The sequence below is a fragment of the Homo sapiens genome, chromosome 7, assembly GCF_000001405.40.
Source record: "Homo sapiens chromosome 7, GRCh38.p14 Primary Assembly".
Classification (NCBI taxonomy): domain Eukaryota; kingdom Metazoa; phylum Chordata; class Mammalia; order Primates; family Hominidae; genus Homo; species Homo sapiens.
The window spans coordinates 103,631,440-103,653,089 of NC_000007.14; the positions used below are offsets into that span (position 1 = coordinate 103,631,440).

Here is a 21,650-nt window from a genome sequence, read left to right on the forward strand (position 1 = left end):
CATGCCACCACACCCAGCTAATGTTTGTATTTTTAGTAGAGACAGGGTTTCACCGTGTTAGCCAGGATGGTCTCAATCTCCTAACCTCGTGATCTGCCTGCCTCGGCCTCCCAAAGTGCTGGGATTACAGGCGTGGGCCACTGTGCCTGGCCCTAAAAACACTTCTTAAACTAAAAATACATAGCTATAATACATTTATGAGTTTTAAATACTTTCTAAAATCTGTAAAATTTTTCATCAGTGTAAATTTATTAGAAGAGTCAGGTTTTGTTAAATTAAGTATTTTAGTAATTTTCAATTTTAATTTTTCAAATCTGTTTATTAAACAAATGCATATATTTATAAAACTACATAATATATAGAAAGAAACTAAATAAACTATATTTAAACTGGTTTAACAATGAAGATATCAGTCATGGATTTAATAATTTGTTTAGCATTATGTTATTAGAAAGTTATAATTTTTCTTCATATTAATTATAAAAACAGTTAATATTCTCTCTCATGAAAATAAATTATTATTTTTTAACATAACAATTGAAAACTAGAATTTCCTAAGCAACTTTTAAGGAAAATAAAGTATTATTTTTTAACATAACAACTGGAAACTAGAATTTCCCAAGCAACTTTTAAGGAAAATAGTGTATATGAATGTGATATTGGTGACTGAAGTGACCAATATTTTCACGGCAGAGGTGTTAAGACTACGGGTCTGTAATCAGACTCTTGGGCCAGAGTTCCCACTCTGACTCCTACTGGTTAATGATTTTGTAACTGTAGATAAAGCACTTGGCTTCTATGTGTCTCAGCAGCTTTATCTGTGAAATTAGAATAATGCTATTCTTATGGCAAGGGCCAGAAATTTTTTTGTCTGCTTTTCACTATTATACCTTAGTACCCAGAGCAGTATCTGGCACATAATAAGGACTCAACAAATTTTTGCTGCATAGTACGTATTATCAGTATATGCCTGATAGAGATGTGAGTACAGAGGCACAAGGAGGTTAAATAATCTCTTTAAGATTAAGCAGACTATAAGTGCTAATGCCAGGATTTGGACCTGGGGAACTTAGCTCTAGAGCCTTGTTCTTAACTTCTACATCGTATCTTTGGGTGTAGGGGGAGTTCCTAACGATTTCACCACTCTTTGCAAGTTATAGTGGCTGGTTAGAATAGCTGTGGAACTGTCTGATCAGAATATTCCTAGAAGAGAACACAGAGACTTAAGTCAACTTTCTGCCTCAATTTTCCTTTTGTTTGTAGGTCCTAACCTCATAGATTTTTTTAAATGTTTTATAGTAATATGTACTATTGAATTGGGTGACATATAGAAACAAAGAGGAGACCAAATATAAGATCAAATTGTTTAAAAAATGTTTTACAATGATATACACTATGGAATTGGATGACATGATAGAACAAAGAGGAGATTAAATATAATAATCAAGACATAAAAATAAACTAAGATTAGACTTCATAGTAATTTTAGAGTAAAAACAAGCCCTATAATTAAGAAGAAAAGCTAGGATAATTTTAGTCTCACCAGTGACACATAATTTTAAATTAATAAAAATACCAATTAGTTCACAAGACATTCTAGTCAGTTTGAATTAAAAGACTAACTTAGATATATTAAATTTTTATTAATAACAAGCAGATAGAGTTCTTTTATTTACTGAATGAATCATAGGCAAGCAAATTATTTAAAATAGTTGAGGAATAATAGTGGTTAGCCAACTAGCATGTCTAATTTATGAATCACACTTCATTTTTGAACAACAATGGCATAAAGAAGCAATATGGAATTCACGGCAATTACAGGCAGCAATTTACACTGAAGGAAATATAGCAAATAGCTAAAGGCATCAAGATATATTTAACTTTCTTATGAAGAATTTACATGGTTTGTATTATTTATCATATAAAATATAATTTGTTATCTAGAATGTATCAACTTCCCCTTCTGCCATGTCACCTTTTATTAATATTTGTAAGAGAGAGGGGGCGGGAGGAAGAATCTCATGGACAGAGATAAATATATATATATATATAGAAAATTAAGGCGTTTTTGCTACCATTACCACGTTCTCCTTTTAAAAAAACTCCACTTTGATCTTAATCTTTCAAGCCATGCACATATCTAATACTGAAAAGCTACCTTGATTCTTAGAAGAAAAATGTTGCTGTCAAATGGCAGGCAAGATTAAACGCGCCTTTGCAATAGCACATTAAATGTGTAATTATTTTTCATATCAACAAAGATTAATTAAATTTCATGATATAGATTGATTACTGAATTTTGCAGCTGTCCATCTTTCTTAGAAAAAATTGTGCTTTAGGCCAACTTAACTTAGGATGGTGATATTTTCTTCATGCTTTCATCATCATTACCTTGATTTTTTGTTTAATTTTCTTTTAATGGTTACTATGGATAGTCTATGAAAGGTTTCTTTAGGATTCATTTGTCTCTACTCAGTAAGAAAGTTGAGTTTAGCACTAGATTTTTACCTGTACAGGGAAAATACCCAATACAGCTGGTGCATTCTTAAAATTTTATAATGTATAACACTTATAAGTTATAATAGATGTTAATCATTATCTGTTACATGCTACTTCATTTTCTATGAAAATAAAAGTTCTCATCTATTTGCAAATACTTAAATATGGAGGCAGTTCTAGGAAAAACTGTAAAATATATAAAATATATCCTCAGTCCCCTCTCTCCTACTTTCCTTAACCCTGTCTTTTTTCCAGGGTGCCAATGCAAACTTTCGTGTCCAAATCCTTCTGTCTTTCTCATCTCCTCATGATTAAAATATACTTCCAGGAAGTGAAGTGGAATGTTACTCCATTTATATGTGACTGTGAATGTAAGCCACAGTATCAACTACTCTGATGGAATTTTAACTTTAAACCTTAATTTTAAGCTTTCCCCATCCTCCTCATCCCTTGATATTTTTAAAGGAATTTCAGTGAGTAGCTCAATAAGTTTTAGGAGTGGAAAGGATCTTTTAGACACACCTAAAATTGTACCACTAATGGTGTTACTATTCTGCCAACATTGAAAGATAGCCCAGCTTCAAGTAAGACTTAAATCTGACAACGGATACTATATATGATGAAATCTATATACTAAAGAAAAATAGAAATGGCCTGAAGAAAGGGCTTTAAATAAACCCTAACACCCCATTTTTGCCAGAGACACTATACAGGCTAAAAAATTTCCTTGTATTCATTGCTTAACTATATTACATGTAAATCTTAATAACATATTGGTTATAAGATATATATAATATAATTTATTACAACATATTAAAATATATCACTAGTATTTATCAATAGCATTTATAATTTAGTGCCATATTCTATTCCTGTGTAATAGTTTACATTATAGTTAAATAAGGAAAACAGTGTTAATTACTTTTCTCTCTTTTTTTTTTGAGACAGTCTCGCTCTGTCGCCAGGTTGGAGTACAATGGTGCAATCTCGGCTCACTGCAATCTCTGCCTGCCGGGTTCAAGCAATTCTCCTGCCTCAGCCTCCTGAGTAGCTGGGACTACAGGTGCGCACCACCACACCCAGCTTTTTTTTTCGTATTTTTAGTAGAGACAGGGTTTCACCATGTTGACCAGGATGGTCTCAATCTCCTGACCTCGTGATCTGCCTGCCTCGGCCTCCCAAACTGCTGGGATTACAGGCATGAGCCACTGCGCCCAGCCTACTTTTCTCTTGATGCTTATAAGCATCAAAATATTTCCCTTAGATCCATATTTAAAACTATGACAATAAATTCCTTCAAATGATCAGAAGTCAGTGGGACAAATGGATGGGTTGGCTTGGTAGTTTTTCACTGCAAGACACATCAATCTTTGTGCGCTCCATCTGTCAATGGAAAAATATCTAGAATTTTATACCATTTGAATTATGATTTCCCCAGGAGAAGATTTCACTCTACAACCATTTTTCCAAATGCTTTCCAACATACCTGGGCTCATGATAGCTGAGATATGAATAATGCTCCAGGAGTTTCCAAGTTATCCCATTATCATAAGAATAATGCAACAAAACTCCTTCACCAGGCTGATCAGGGGCTCTGCACGTGCTCAGAACAGATTTGCTCCCCAGTCTCAGTGTGAACTGGAGAAACCTAGACAGAAATTGTCTATAATTAGTGTATGCATAAACATTTTTAATCATAATGTTCATTTTGGTCTTTAAAGAATTTCAAATTATGTTTCTACTCACCCCTCTTTTACAAAATGTTAAGTAATTTCATTGTTAGATATATGAATATGTGTAGATATTTATGTACATGTTGATATACATATTTTATGTACAGATAGATCCATAAAAATATAACTGGATGTTTATGCACACTTGTATACTATGTACTTGTGTACATACACTTAAAATGCCAATCACTTCTTTACTGCATTATTTATTAGACACTGGGGGAAGGGAAGTTGTAGAGTAAATCTAATCAGCCTCCTCAAGCTGTCAAATCAATAAAACTACATAAATAATTAACTAGCTCTTGGCTTAAGAACATAGTTTTGATGCTAACATTTCATATTTTAAAAAACCTAGTCAGTCATTAATATCCAAGTCATTGGTGAGCCTCCTAATTTACTAAAAACTAGGGCAAATTAACTCTCAATAAACTGTAGGCTCCCTCCAACCCTAGTTAAAAATGAGATGTCTATCAGAAAAAATATAAGAAATAAAAATGGACAGTATAACTAAATTCAACATTAGTATCTGGTTTTTGTATGTATTCTACCCTGCCTTCACTCACCTGGATTGTGAGCTGTCAAGGAAAGATGTAATTAGCTGACGCCGCCCATCTTTGTTGAAAACCAGGGCCTTACCACTGGCCAAGACACCACAACCAAAGCTGACTTCAGCACCACGGATAGAGTAAAAGTTATGGTAAGAGGAGAGCCTGGAACTGCCAAAGCTTTCAGAAATAAACATTGGGAATGTCTGGGATGCCATCTCACAAGCTGGGCCAGAAAATCCAGGGTCACACCTGAAAGAAATATGGTGAAATTAAATCTTAAACTGTTGGCTGTTTCGGAGATTCTCGAATCTACTTTGGGGAGGAAGAAGTCCAGAGACTAGGATTTGATTGAATGGTAAATGAGGCTCATTAGTCTTTGGAGACTACTGAATCTAAAGACTTGATAAGGGCTAATCGACTGTAAATATTCCAGACAAATACAGTATTTGCACAGCCCTCCCATAAAAAGCCTACGATTAAAACAGTAATTCAGCAATTTATCTAAAATACATCTATGTTCATACACATTTCCAACTTAGAATATCTGTAAAAGGTTTATGTATAATTTTATTCATAACACTCATTAAATTTATAAAAGAAACAGCATAAAGCACTTCCAATAAGATACCCAGAATAAATTTTTTCTAAGAACAAATGTTAAAATACATGTTATGTTCGTGATAGGAATTAATTTAAATATTTAGAAACTATTGGAAAATGAATCTATCTTTAACTATTTCAGATGTATAAAGGGAATGTGTACACCCTTGACCTAGATAGATGTCCTTAGCAGAACTGTGTTGCCTCTCAGTGGACTCTCCCAAATTAGTGGCACTTCAAGAAAAACAAACCTTTCCCCACTCCCCAACAACCTGCTTGCTTCTATGTAAGAATGTGCTGTATTTATATTAGCTGACTAGAATATACAGGAGTGCCCCAAGTTTTCTATCAGTGAGAAAACCTCATCACAGATGAATCAGCAATGGAAACATCTACGTTTTAAGGAGATTATTCATCAGGAAATAGTTTCAAATTATTTGTTTTTACTGTGCTATTTCCTTCTCACTACATTTATAATGTTGCTCAATTGGTATCTTTTTGAGTGGGGGATTCTCATGGGAGCATTCAAAGCTTGCTGAAGTCTGAAACAAGCCTTTACAAAGCAAGTGTACCAATGAAGTGATACTATGGCATGACTCAGGATACTTCTTTGGCAGTACTACTGAGACTTGGGTCTATGCTGGCCTTTCAAGGAGTCCATGGAATGTAAAAATATGCTAAATCAAATGACCAGTTTTATGTATATTGGATTTTCTGGGGAGAAGGTCCATAGGTTTTATCAGATTACCAAATAAGTTGGAGCCTAAAATGCTAAGAACTACTGTAGCATGAAGTTTGAAGGTTGTCTTGGTATCTTAAGTAGCATCAATAAGGGGATGAAAGGAAAGCCAATATTTACTGGATGAGCCTTCTTTCACATGTTGTCTAATGGACTTAGACTGAACTTAGACTGAATAGCCAAGTTGTTTCCAAAAAAGAATTTTTAAAATCAGCTAAATTGAACACATTTTAAAGTCAGGAAACTGAATGTGTTTTACCACAGTCACGAATTGGAATTAATTTTCCTTAGCAAGACTATCTATTCCAGAGTGCATTTTAGGGCAATTACATTTTTGTGTATCTTAAATGTGTCTTCTCAGGACAAGTGACTGGGAGAAACTGGTGATCGTTTAGAGATGACTCACATTGGAGTCACTTTCCATTTAGTCGTTTTAAAAGTCTACTTTTAATCAAAGGTTATTCAGTTGAGATATAATGCTGATAAAGATAAAGTAGTTTTTTAAAAATATTTTTTAAAAAAAACAAAAAACTTTGTAGTCTTTGTTTCTCAGCAAAACAACAAGGTCACACACATTGGTGATTTCGGGTATGACACGAGGCTCTCCTGACTCCCAATATGTCTGCTACTAATCCATCTACACATGCTTAAATTTAGCGGTATAGTCACCCTGTAATGTCAGGAAAATCACCCCACTGTTAAGCTACATGGATGACACTCGTGAAGAAAGGGGTTCTAATGCTCTGTCTCCTCATTAGCATCTCTAACAGGGTTGGGCTTATCAGGTTAGTAGTGTGTCCATTTAGAGAACCAGGCCTGGGATTGTACACAGGCCAGAAAGTGTTAGAGGGAACATGAGAGAGTAGAATCTTGATAGCAAATAGCAGTAAAACACGGGGGAGAGGTGGAGTAAAGAGGAGAGAAAAATATAAAGTTGCAAAGGTCCCAGATTCAATGATTTGTTTAAAGGAAGTAAGTGGTATTACATATACATTTCTTTTCTGTGTGATTTTGCTCAAATTCAATAAGGTACACATTGCTGGAAAAGGAGGTAGTAGTCAAACTTTTAGCCCAGCCGTAAGCGAACAAAGCCAATGAATATTACATAAAACATTGTTAGAAATAGGGAAAAACACTAAAGTTCTAAATGGTGAAAATATTCCATAAAACCTCAGAAGGAGGAAAAGACTATGACTATTCGGAATAATGGATGGTGTCAAAAAAGAACAATGTCCAAAAGCATAAAGCTACCATTTAGATTTGTTTGTATCCACCATGGGTGGCATAGATGGTAGCCTTAATGAAACCACTTAATTCTAAGAGGAATATGATACACATAAAATGAAGTCTGAAGTATAACTACTGTAATTATGGATAGGTCTTTTTAGAAATGCCACTTTCTATTTTTTGAAAATAAAAGTTGTCATTCTAGGTAATTTTTTTCCCCAAAACTTTTTAGGACAACATCAGGATTTGCAAAACTATCTGGCCTCATGTTAATTTTATTTGAAATACACTAAGAAGATGGTCTGATTATGGATAATGGATGCACATAACAACTTGAGGAAGATATCAGCCAATGTTTCATAGATCTACTGACCAGTGTTTTGGAATGGGAGTTGGTAGTTTTACTAGAAAACACAGGAATGCATATTCAGTTTGGAAATATAGATGGAAGCTTTTCAATTCTTCACATACTTTATAAAAAATTTCCATTGGGAAAAGTGATCTCTTTGTTAACTAAATTCACTGAAATATAGTTAGAAAGTTAAAAAGCCACACTAATCTCAATGTCAACAAGCGCTTGGCTCATACATGCAATTTCTTTTTTTTCTTTTTCTCTCTTTTTTTTTTTTTTTGAGATGGAGTCTCACTCTGTCGCCCAGGCTGGAGTGCAGTGACACGATCTTGGCTCACTGCAACCTCTACCTCCCGGGTTCAGGTGATTCTCCTGCCTCAGCCTCCCGAGTAGCTGGGATTACAGATGCACGCCACCACGCCCGGCTAATTTTTGTATTTTTAGTAGAGATCGGGTCTCACCATGTTGGCCAGGCTGGTCTCGAACTCCTGACCTCAAGTGATCCACTGCCTCAGCCTCCTAAAGTACTGGAATTACAGGCATGAGCCACCATGCCCAGCCTACAATTTCTAAATGATCCAGGTTCAAAGCTCTTTTATGAGTTCTCTACTCATTAACTAATTAGCTAATTGATTAATTACTCTTTTTGTTGGAGGGACAAGAAAAAGTAGACTAGATGATCAGCTGTTGAACACTTATCTTTATTACAGATTGCCTGTGGTTTTGGGAATTCCCAGAATATTTTATAATTAAATATTAATGTAAGAATGACATAATAAATGTGAATATCCATTTTTTGGTATAAACATAAAATAATTCATTGGTGGTAATTAGATATTACATTATTAATGTATAATTTCAGACTTTATATTCAACAGCATTGTTTTGTAAAATACTTTATAATTTATTAAAGACTCAAATGATTTTCAAAAGTAAACAAGACGCTTAAGTTATATTTAAAGATGATGAATTTGCTTATCAAATCTGCTAAATTTGGTCCAGTCCAGTTTCCTTTAGCATTGGATCTATGGGTCATTACTGATTTTTACAATCATTTACAAAGCATGCTAGGAATTACAATGTGACTCATGAACACCCGAACAAGTTTATGGAAAAGGATGTAACTACAGGCAGGAAAGGCAGCCATCAAGCTGTGAGGAATTCCAATTTGTTCACAAATTCACATGAGGAATGCTAAATTTGTCCACAATTTAGCCTAATATAAAATGTATTAATTTTCACTTAAAAATACATTTGAATTACACTTAAGTTCTAATAGAAATATCCAACTTTTTGTCTTAAAAAGATCCCCGATCCTAAAAAAGGTTATTAAATGACTTGCGACTTCAACACATACATTACACATCAAAAAGGAGAAGCATAAGTGTTATTTTAAGATGCTTACTTGCAACCATGTCTAGTGCACTGTCCTCTGCCAGAACAGAATTTGAGACATGACGGGCCAATATAAACTGTGGGAGGGAAAAAGAGAACATAATTACAAAAACATAGAACACTACCAGTACAATTTTGTGAAGTAATACTCATGAAATATGGCCCCTTGTGTGTATGTTGTGTGCAGGAACCCAGGGTGACATATGGAATGCTGTGTAATAAGGTAAGTGCTTAGTTACAAAGCTGCTGAAACAGTCACAAGTTATACAGATAATCCTTTTAAGATTTTAACATTTCATATCAAAGAAGATAGGAGCTTATGATTTGAATTCTTAATAGAGTCTATTAGACAATATTAGCGCTTCTGCCTTGAACATTCTACAAAGTTTATTTTCATTAGGTAGAAAAAAAATATTTAAAAAGGACCAATCTGATATATCACAATATGGAGAAGTCACCCCATAATTTTCATTTCTATCAGGGGAAAATCTATAACACTGTGGATGACCGTTACATATATTTCTAAATATTAATCTATCCTTCCTGGAAATGAGGAGTTAAGAATATGTTGTTGAGCCTAAAGGCTACTGATTGTTGAATGGTCGGTTCTGAGATACTCAGACTCCAATACACTTAAATATTATTAATTCTTTTGTTAATCAGCAAAATTAACAATATACCAAATGGTGTAAAAGTGGTATTAAACTAATGAGAAATTCAAGATGCAATAAAACCTCATGTGTTCCATTTTTTAGGCATAAGCAAATTTATAATCTGTTGTCATTTTCTTCTCTGTCCTGTAGTCATTTCAAAGTATTTACATAATTTTATTGTAAAATAAACTTTCCTGTAGCCTATGCTCCTATAAGCACTTAATACCTGCCAATTAACAGGTGGAGTAATTCAAATTCAATGAATTGTAGGCCAATGGAAAGATCTTGGTGATGGAAACTGCTGGTTTAGGAAGAGATTAGATAGCAGGCTGAGTCATTAAAGATATTGTTTCAGGTGTCAGATAATCCTGGCTTCAAATTCTGGCTTCACTCAGGAAATTCTGATAAGTAATTTATCCTGTCTAACCCTCAATATTCCTATTCCTTAAAGTGGGATAATAATACTCCTTGGAGGAAATAATTAAAGAAACATATTATGCTTAGCATGGTACCCAGCACTACATGGTTATAATCAGCACCATACTGAGGTCAAGTATTCCTTGACACCCTCCTGTCCTGTTGCTTTGATGTGCTCCACTGTGCACCAAGGAACAAGAAAGGGGCTGGCTCCATTCTTCTTCAGCCTGGAAAAGCATATGGATTGTTTTCCCAGCACACTTGATTTTATGGCTGAAGGAAGATATGCTCTAAGAGATAGGGCACCCATGTCATAGTTCAAAAAGCCTCCATCATGAAAAATTCAACAATAAATTAAGACATTCCAAGTCAATGAAAAAAGTTGCAATTAAGAATTTTATTGTCATCTCTTCCTGCTAATTATGAAGCCATTAGGACTCATAACAGGCTTCTTTTTTCCTAAGAGTGTGAATAGGATAGAATAGCTTTCTTCACTATTATCGGTAATATAGTCAAGTTGAAAAAATTTTTAAAATGACAAGAAATGTACTTTGCTTTAGGACTTTCCATTTGGCTAAGATTTTCAGGGTGATTTCCAAAGTAATTTCTTTACACACTAGCAGAAGTTGACTCTGCCATGAAGGAAGACTATACCTAACAGAATTATGATATTGATATGTTTTTCTCTATTTTTTTCTGTGACATAATTCTAGAATTACATAGTGAAATGGGAGAGATTTCATAGTGTTTTTTTTTTTTTTTTTTGGCAAGTAAGCACAAATTTCTCTTGGGAAGGAGTATGTGTCCTTTTCTTCCCTTGTAAAAGAAGCCAAAGAGTGGGTCCTGTTTCTGTGAAAACCTCACATAGAATGATAACAGAATTAAAGAGATTCTGCACCAGGTTTTGCATTCAACATACCTTGCTAACCATGTGCATTCCATATATCTTTACCCTTTCCCATTCTACTCAAAGCATGATTCCACTCAAAGCATGGGAACTCAGAGGATGTGTAGTGAACACTTTCTGAACTAAAATTGTGTTGTAACAGCCTTCTTTAGGAAATTGAAACATTCTTTTCATAGGCTTACATGTGCTTCATTGCACTCTTAATTTTCTCATATACTTTTTCATTATTGGTTTCTAAACCACTTTGATGATTATCAAAGTAATAAAGGTTCATTATAGAATCCTTAAAAAGTGTGACAGCAAGAAAAAGTCACTCGTATTCTGCTATCTAGAGGCAAATGCCTACTCCCTAGAGCTAATGAACAGGTGCAATACTTAAAATGCTACGCAAAATGTTCTACCAATGAAAAAACTCCATTTTAACCCCTTCATCTTTAGATGTTTTTGCAAATTCACTATGTTTATATCCATATAACTCATAAGGTCTTTGAGGGTGGGCTTTCCATTCGTCTGCTTTTTGGATAAATATTGGGAAATAATTCATATTGGTTCATCAGCAAATTATCTTGTCTAAAGTTTTTCTCCAGTTTCAAGAATTTGGTCATTTCTCAATGTCTAAATTATTAAAAAATAACAGACCTGATTAAGACATGGAAAATCAACATTAAACAAGGGTGTGCATTTTCTCCATTTTATAAAATTGACCTCAAATCAGTGGCTATGCTAAATTTGCTTAGCTATTGACATTTTGTCCCTTCTCCTCTCTTTCTCCCTTTCTACTTACTTGTAGTATAAGCCTTCAGCCAACTTATATGCTCTCTGAAAATAGGAATGCTATTAATCTACCTGTAATTAAAATAAGAAACCGAACAATCAGGCAGGGATTCACCATCTTGTATCATGGCTTCCCAAAACTACAGCTTCTGTTTGTAAGTCCTTATTAAGGGTGTCTTCCTAAGAAACTGAATTTGTCAGCCTCCTTCTTTGGACTCTCAGCTTCCATGGTCTTTGGGGAGATGAGATCTTGCTATGTTGTCCTGGAGTACAGCAGCTATTCATAGCTAATCTTAACTAACCTGCACATTGTGCACATGTACCCTAAAACTTAAAGTATTAAAAAAAAGATTAGCATGAGAAAAATGTCTAATTATCTGTAAAGAAAATTCCATCAGACTAACAGTGGAATTCTTGTTAGAAACCTTATAAGCCAGAAGAGATTGGGATCCTATTTTTAGGTTTCTAAAGAAAAAAACTGTTAACCATGAATTCTGTATTCTATTAGAATACATAGATGAGATCATAGTACACAGTAGCCACAAACTCCTGAAATCAAGTGATCCTTTTGCTTCTGCTTCCTGAGTAGCTGGGAATACAGGCATGTGCCATGCCTGACTACCAAAAACATTTAAAAAGAGTAGGTTGAAAATTATTGCCTCTTCATGCCCAGTACATCACTACTACAATCAGCATTTGATAAAGCCACTACACTAAGGATATCTATAACCAATGAACTCATAGAGAGTCTTTGCCACTGAATGCTCAAGAACCAAGGCCAAATGACCCTACACAGCATACATTATAGTCACATCCTCAAGAGAAAAAAAATTCCATCCAAATGAAAGTAAATTAAAAAAAATAATGAGATAGTTTCTTGAGATGAGAAGGAAGCAGCAGAACAATTCTGGAAGCATGCAAAAACAGAGTGTTAAAAAATCATACTAATTCTGTAAAATGGATCCTAACCAAAATGAAATCCTTGAAATACCAGATAAAGAATTCAAAATATTAATTTTAAATAATCTCAATGAGATCCAAGAGAAAGGTAAAAGCTAACACAAAAACATCAGACAATCAATTCAGGATATGAATGACAAATTTACCAAAGATATAAGTATGTCTTTTTTTTTTTTTTTAGAAAACCCAAACCCCAAACAAAACTTTTAGAAATGAAAAATTCATTGAAGGAATTACAAAACATAGTTGAAAGTTTTAACAATAGACTAGACCAAGCAGAAGAAATAATCTCAGAGCTCGAATACAGGTTTTTCAAGCTAACACAGTCAGACTGAAAGAAAGAACAAGAATTTTAAAAATGAACAAAGACTTTGAGAAATAAGAGATTATGTAAAATGTCCAAACCTATGAGTCAAAGGTATTACCGAGGGAGAAGAAAAGCAAAAACTCTGGAAAGTCTATTTGAGGAAGTAATTGAGGAAAACATCCCTAAAGACTTGCTAAAGATTTAGACATCCAGATTTAAGAGGCTCACAGAACTCCAGAAAAATACATTGTAAGGATGTCACCAAGTTATATAGTCATCAGACTATCTAGAGACAGTGTGAAGGAAAAAATCTTAAGATTAGCATGGGAAAAATATCTAATTATCTGTAAAGAAAATTCCATCAGACTAACAGTGGAATTCTTAATAGAAACCTTATAAGCCAGAAGAGATTGGGATCCTATTTTTAGGTTTCTAAAGAAAAAAACTATTAACCAGGAATTTTGTATTCTATTAGAATTAAGCTTCATAAATGAAGAAGAAATAGTCTTTCCCAGGCAAGCAAATGCTAAGGGAATTCATTACCACTAGACCAATCCCACAAGAAATGCTAAGGGAGTTCTAAACATAGAAATTAAAGATCAATACTCACCATCCTAAAAACAAATGACAGTATAAAACTCACAGGTCTTATAAAACATTTACACTAATGAGACTGCAAAGCAACAAGATAACAACTAACATTATAACAGGAATAAAAACTCACATGTCAATATAGTTCTTGAACAGAAATGGATTAAATTCTCCATTTAAAAGATACAGATTGGCAGAATGGATTAAAAAACACAATCCAACCATATACTGCTTACAAAAAATCCCACCTAACTGGTAAAGACACTTACAGACTAAAGATAAAGGGATGGAAAAACATATTCCAAACAAACAGAAACCAAAAATGAACAGAAACAGCTATACTTATCTAAGATAAAACAGACTTTAAATCAACAAGAAAAAAATAAGACAAACATTATAAAATGATAAAAGGATCAATTCAACAAGAAGATATAGTAGCAATCCTAAATACATATGCACCCAACACTGGAACGTACAGATTCACAGAACAAATACTACTAGACCTAAGAAAATAGATGGGGTGCAATATATACAATAATAGTAAGAGACTTCAACATGCCACTGACAGCACCATACAGATCACTGAGACAGAAATTCAACAAATAAACACTGGACTTAAATTGGACTTTAGGACAAATGAACCTAACAGACATTTACAGAATATTCTACCAAACAACCACAGAATATACATTTTTCTCATGAGTGCATGAAAGATTCTCCAGGACAGGCCATATGTTAGGCCACAACACAAGTCTCAATAAATTTTAAGAAATCAAAATCATATCAAATACCTTCTCAAATGACAGTAGAATAAAACTAGAAATTAATTCTAAGGGAAACTCTTAAATTACACAAATACATGAAAATTAAACAACCTGCTCCTGAATGATCTTTGAGTTAATGACAAAATGAACACAGAAATTAAAAAAAATTTTGAAATGAGTGAAAATAGAGACATAACAAAACTTCTAAGATATAGCAAAAGCAGTGCTAAGAGAGAAGGCTATAACCTTAAATTCCTACATAAAAAATAGATCACAAAGTAACAACATAATATTGCACCTCAGGGAACTAGAAAAACAAGAATGAACCAAATCCAAAGCTATCAGAAGAAAATAAATAATGAAGATCAGAGCAGAACTAAATGAAATAGAGATCAAAAAAAATTCAAAGAATCAACCATATGAAAAAGTTGTTCTTTTAAAAGGTGAACCAAGTTGACCAATCACTAGCTAGACTAACCAAGAAGAGAAGAGAGAATATTCAAATAAGCAGAATAAAAAATGAAAAAGGAGACATTACAACTGCTACCACAAAAATACAGGAGATAATCAGTGATTACTGTAAACATCTTTATGTGCACAATCCAGAAAACCTAGAGAAAATGGATGCATTCCTGGAAACATACCTCCTCCTAAGATTGAAGCAGGAAGAAATAGAAATCCGGAAAAGAAAAATAACAAGTAGTGACACTGAATCAGTAATAAAAAATCTCCCAACAAATAAAAGCTCTCAGGACGAGACTAATTCACAGCTGAATTCTGCAAGATGCACAAAGAAAATCTTGTACCAATCCTGCTAAAACTGTTCCAAAAACTGAGGAGGGAATCCTTCATAACTCATTCTATGAAGTCAGTATAAACCTGATACCAAAGCCAGGCAAGGACACAACAAAAAAGGAAAACTGCAGATCAATATCCCTTATGAACATAGATGCAAAAATCCTTAACAAAATATTAGCAAACTGAATCCAACAGCACATCTAAACAACATGATCAAGTGGGTTTCATTCCAGGGATGCAAGGATGGCTCAACCTATGCAAATCATCTTAATAGATGCAGAAAAGCATTTGATAAAATTCAGCATCCTTTCACAATAAAAACCCTCAACAAACTAGGTGTAGATAGAACATACCTCAAAATAATAAAGGCCGTATATGACAAACCCAAAGCCAACATAATATGGAATGGGGAAAAAGTCAAAGCACTCCCTCTAAGAACTGGAACATGATGAGGATGCCCACTTTCACCACTCCTATTCAATATAGTAATGCAAGTACTATCTAGAGCAATCAGGCAAGACAAAGAAATAAAAGGCACCCAAATTTGAAAATATAAAGTCAAATTATCTCCGTTTGGTTATGATATGATCTTATACCTAAAAAATCCTAAAAAATTCTCTCAAAGACTCCTAGATTTGATAAATGACTTCAGTAAAGATTCAGGATATAAAATCAATGTACAAAAATCAGGAACATTTATATATAACGATAATAAACGGAGGATAAAATCAAGACGTCAATCCCATTTACAATAGCTACAAACAAAATACCTAGGAATACATTTACCCAAGGTGGTGAATGATCTCTACAAGAGAAACTATGAAACACTGATGAAAAAAAAAAAACTGTAGGACAAAAACAAATGGAGAAACATCCTATACTCATGGATTAGAAGAACCAATATGATTAAAATGATCACACTGCCCAAAGTAATCTACAGCTTCAATGCAAATCCTATCAGAATACTAATGTCATTTTTCACATAATTAGAAAAAAACAATCCTAAAATTCATATGGAACCAAAAGAAAGTGAATAGCCAAAGCAATCCTAAGCAAAAAGAACAAAGCTGGAGGCATCACATTACCTCACTTCAAATTATACTACAAGACTATAGTAAACAAAACTGCATGGTACTGGTATAAAAATAGACATATACATCAATGGAACAGAATAGAGAGCCCAGAATAATGCCATCTACAGACAGCCAACTGATCTTAAACAATATTCAAAAAAACATACACTAGGGAAAGAACACCCTATTCAATAAATGGTGCTGGGAAAATTGGATGGCCATTTGCAGAAGAATGAAACTGGACCCATATCTCTTACCATACACAAAAATTAACTCAGATGGAATAAATACTTAAATGTAAGATATGAAACTATAAAAATCCTAGAAGAAAACTGATATGGTTTGGATTTGTGTCCCTGCCCAAATCTCATGTCAAATTGTAGTCCCCAATATTGGAGGAGGGGCCTGGTGGGAGGTGACTGGATCATGGGGGTGGATTTCCCCCTTGCTGTTCTTGTGATAGTGAGTTCTAACAAGATTTGTTTGTTTAAAAGTATATAGCACCTCCCCCTTCACTCTCTCTTCCTCCTTCTCTGGCCATGTAAAACGTGCCTGCTTCCCTTTGGCCTTCTGCCATGATTGTAAGTTTCCTGAGACCTCCTAGCCATGCTTTCTGTACAGCCCATGGAACTGTGAGACAACTAAATCTCTTTTCTTTATAAATGACCCAGTCTCAGGTAGTTCTTTATAGCAGTGCAAGAATGGATTAATATAGAAAATCTAGGAAAAACTCCTGAACACTTGCCTAGGCAAAGAATTAATGACTAATAGCTCAAAAGCACAGACAACAAAAACAAAAACAAAAAGACAAAGGGGCTTCAATTAAGCCCAAAGTTTCTGCACAGTAAAAGAAATAATCAACACAGTGAACAGACAACCTACAGATTGGGAGAAAATATCTGCAAACTATGCATCTGAGAAGGGACTAATATCCAGAATTAACAGTGAACTCAAATACCTTGACAAGAAAAAACGTATAGTTCCATTAAAAAGTTGGCAAAGGACATGAGCAAACAGTTTTCAAAAGAAGACATACAAATGACCAACAGGTATATAAAATGCTAAGCATCACTAATTATCAGAGAAATGCACATTAAAACCACAATGAGATACCATCTTACTCCAATCAGAATGGGTATCATTAAAAAGTAAAAAAATAACAGATACTGGTGAGGACGTGGGGGAAAAGGAAACTCTTAGACACTTTTGGTGGGAATTTAAATTAGTAAAACCTCTGGAAAACAGTATAGATATCTCTCAAAAAATGAAAACTAGAACTACCATTTGATCCAGCAACCTCACTACTGAGTATCTACCCAAAGAAAAAGAAACCAGTATATTAAAGGGAAACCTTTACTTGTATGTTTATTGCAGCACTGTTCATAATAGTAAAGTCATGGAATCCACTAAAATGTTCATTAATGGATGATTAAAGAGTATGTCACACACACAAACACACCATGGAATACTACTCAGCCATGAAAAAGAATGAAATCGTGTCTTTTGCTACAACATAGCTGGAACTGGAGGCCATTATCCTAAGTGATATTACTTAGAAAGTTGTAGACCACATGCTCTCACTTATAAGCGGGAGCTAAATAATGTGTACACATGGACATAGACAGTAGAATAACAGGCACTGGAGACTCAGAAAGGTGGGAGGATGGAAGGGGGGTGAGGGATGATAAATTACGTTGTACTCTATTTGGGTGATAGTTACACTAAAAGTCCAGACTTCACCACTATGCAATATATTCATATACAAAACTACATTTGTACCCACTGAATCCTTAAAAATAAAAATAAAAATAGAAAGACAAAAACCAAAGAGTTGGTGATTAATAACAAGTATAAGAAATGTACAGACATGCAACCCAAGAGCTTAAAATATCTTCTGTCATTGTCATAAGTGGTATCGACTTTAAAATGATGCAAAATTCCAAAAATTCACTTGAAAATGAAAGATAAAAGATTTAAAAAGATATATATCTAAGTTTTCTTTCTATACTATTTTCTGAAAAGGAGGTAAAAGTTTCACCTCCTTTTTTTAGAGATGATGTTTCCTTCTGTGTGTTGTCTGCATGTAAAAGAAAAGCATTCCAGATGTTGTGGTAGTTACTAAGAGAAGAATGGGTCTTATTTTAATACATGCAGTATGATCAATATTTATGTTAATTTTATACAACATTCAAAGAAAATGTTAGGATATCCCTTGTCATCAACTGTGAATTTCAGTTTCAAGGTTTTATGCATTTTTTATTTATGTATGTGAAACATTCTAGCATCTAATACTGCTGACTTCACTGGCTTTTTTTTTTTTTTTCCTGATTGCACATCCCTAGGCTTCTAACAGAATGCAAAGGAGAAATGGAAGAAAGGGTGTTTAATGAATTGCAAGACCATGACTTAGAAATGTGATTAAGTCTGTGCTGACGAACAAAAGCACAGGAAGACTCTACATCAATGGCATGTGATTATGACAGGCATAAACACTAACCATTATCAATTGCCCACATGTTTCCAAGGATTGGTCCTGTTTGTCTCCAGCGAATCCTGGTGTTCCGGGTTAGTGCTGCGTTAGGAAGGGGAATTGTTATTCGGTTCCACCTGCAAGAAATTTAGCACAAAACCATCTTCACAACTATGTTCATATCTTTAGAATCTATTTTACATGGTTTTCATGTTCTAGCTTCTGTGTGCTTGGAAAAGCACTAAAGTTTACCAATAAACTCTTTAAATTCACTTGTGGAATTTGTTTGTATCTTTAAAACAGACATACAATTTGTAAAAACATCCACGGTATGCCAGAGCAATGGATTTGTTATTTTATATTACTTAAACATTTTTAAAGCTTTAATTTATTGTTAGAGACAGGGTCTTGCTCTGTTGTCCAGGCTGGAGTGCAGTGGCACAATCATAGCTCACTGCAGCCTCAAAATCCTGGGCTCAAGCTATGCTCCTGCCTCAGCCTCCTGAGTAGGTAGGACTACAGAAGCATACTACCACACCCAGCTAATTTTTATATCTGTAGAGACAAGGTCTCATACTATGTTGCCCACACTGGTCTCAAACTTCTGACCTCAAGAAATCCCCTTACCTTGGCCTCCCAAAGTGCTGGGATTACAGGTGTGAGTCATCATAACTAGCCAATTTATTCTTAATAGTGAGGGATATTTAGTTTTTATATATTCTTTTAAGAAATTTTTCCATCAGTGCTCAGACCTTAGATATTATCTTATGCTAGGCATCTGTGCAGAGATGTACTGCTAATTAGCATCAATTATTTTTATTTTTTGTTCTCCCCTAGCCCTACACACATTTAAAAGGGGATAACAAAGAAAATAATTCCCAACTTAATTTTGCCATTCTTGCAAATATTTTTACTATTCTCATAATGCTTATTCTGTAATGTGGCAAGTATTTTATATAATCATCTTTAATTCTCCTAATAGCCCCCAATGAGGTATATTAAATCTTTAATTATACAGAAAAAAGTGGAAAGTCAGGGAGAGTAAATATGATTACACAGAATGGAATCCAGGTCCAATTTCAAAATTTAACTTTCTTCCATTTTTTCTATGCTGCATTTCTCTATAAGTAGCGTGGCAATAACCACAGAACTGCCATATAGAATTTAAGTTCATGCAGTCCAAAATATAAGTCAAGTACATAAAGAATGAATGGCCTTACAAATGTTCATTGTAATCTTGCATCCAGTTTACCAAAGATACTATCTTTCTTTCTTTCTTTTTTACAAGACCACTTTTAAAGAGGTTAGGTTTCTTACCTATTATGACAAAAATGCTAATTTCAGGATAACTCATTGATTTTTATTCTGCAACATGGATTCAAGTATTTCAATATCTCAGAGAGAATGTACTCACCCACTGTAGTTTTCAGAGGAGTAGACAGTGCTGTGGGGGAGGTGGGGTCCAGCACAGATCTCAGGTAAGCATTCAGTGTGAAGGAGGGACCAGGAGCGCCCATGGTTGGTAGAAAATTCCAAGCTGACACTAATAAAACCAGAACAAGCACACACAAAAGGTGGGGAGGGTAAAGATAACAAATCAAATGAAATTTTCAACTCTGGTTAAGTACATTAAACAACTGTAAAAACAGTGTAAAATTTTTTAAAGATGCTGTTTCCTAAATGATTGTTTTCTCTTTCACTAAAGTCTGACCAGCTTTCAAAGGGCAATCAGTTAAATTACTGCTATAAACAAACTATGTTTCAAAGACAACAAATGGTAACTTGAGTTTGTGTTCTTGAGTTTGATAGGTGGCAAGGCAATTACCATGTCTCACACTGTCACTTCATCCTGTGAATGTGACACCGACAAAATTCCTAGAAAAAATATGAGCAACACTTGGGCAAGTGAAACTGAGAAGTCATAGCTCTTGACATGCTAATTGATTTCCATGCTTATTATTAGCAGGTCACCAGCCGACAGGAGGTCAAGCTTTTTTTCAGTTGCTTTTTTTTTTTTTTCTCTCTTAGCAATCTGTTGTAATGGATGGTTGCCACAGCACATGCAAACACCTCTGATACCTAAGATCAAGCTCTTAGAATGAAGCCATTCCTACTTGAAATCTATCCAATCATACCCCTCATATTAATTGAAGAACTTTTCATTTGGCAAAAGTGTGTTATTTCATCAATGAGTATTTTACTTAAAATCCAGTTAAAACTCTACCTAGAAACTACCTCTTATTTAATAGCCAAATCTGCAAACTCATTTTTAGTTTTGCACACTTACAAAATAGGGCTTCCTACCTGTTACCAGGCTGATGCGTTCCACATCCCAGATTGATGGAAAACTGTATCATGTGAGACATTGTAGAAGGGAGAACAGGCAAGACATGGAAAAAGTCTACAGCCCAGACATTCCTATTATGTCCTTGATGGTTCTTTTGCCTGAGACAAAATTTGGTAGCAGGAGTCTGAAGTTCAGGATTGATGACCACAGAAACCAAAGACGGAACCTTTCAAACAAAGGAGACCAGAATCACTCAAAATCCTTTCTAGGCTAGTCCATGTAAATTCTCCTAGATTTGACCTAATGAACGCTATGTACATAACTGCCATTTATTAAGCACCAGGACACGTCCTTTGTGTTGCATTTGTTATTTCATGAAGAAGATGCTATCCTCAAGGAGCATTCGATTTAGTGACTCAGAATTCTTCCTGTGCACGAGGTGGGGGTCTCTGCGTGTGTTTGATCAGGCTCTCCCTAACTGAAGATAAACTGATATAAGGTCTTTAAGAGTTATCTAAGCATGTGTATCCATTTTATTTAATTAGCACAAGACAAA

The 21,650-nt window shown here is 34.4% G+C and overlaps 1 protein-coding gene across 2 annotated transcripts in view; it reads right to left on the minus strand.

The window, feature by feature from the left end:
* The window catches only part of RELN (reelin), a 517,870-nt gene that overhangs the window by 159,651 nt on the left and 336,569 nt on the right, over positions 1 to 21,650 (minus strand). For both annotated transcript variants that reach the window (NM_173054.3, NM_005045.4), the window contains exons 14-19: positions 21,112 to 21,320; positions 20,222 to 20,350; positions 18,835 to 18,944; positions 9,104 to 9,170; positions 4,796 to 5,029; positions 3,986 to 4,147 (exon numbers count right to left, since the gene is read on the minus strand). In NM_173054.3, coding sequence (NP_774959.1) covers positions 3,986 to 4,147; positions 4,796 to 5,029; positions 9,104 to 9,170; positions 18,835 to 18,944; positions 20,222 to 20,350; positions 21,112 to 21,320 — 911 coding nt within the window. The remainder of the gene's footprint in view (positions 1 to 3,985; positions 4,148 to 4,795; positions 5,030 to 9,103; positions 9,171 to 18,834; positions 18,945 to 20,221; positions 20,351 to 21,111; positions 21,321 to 21,650) is intronic.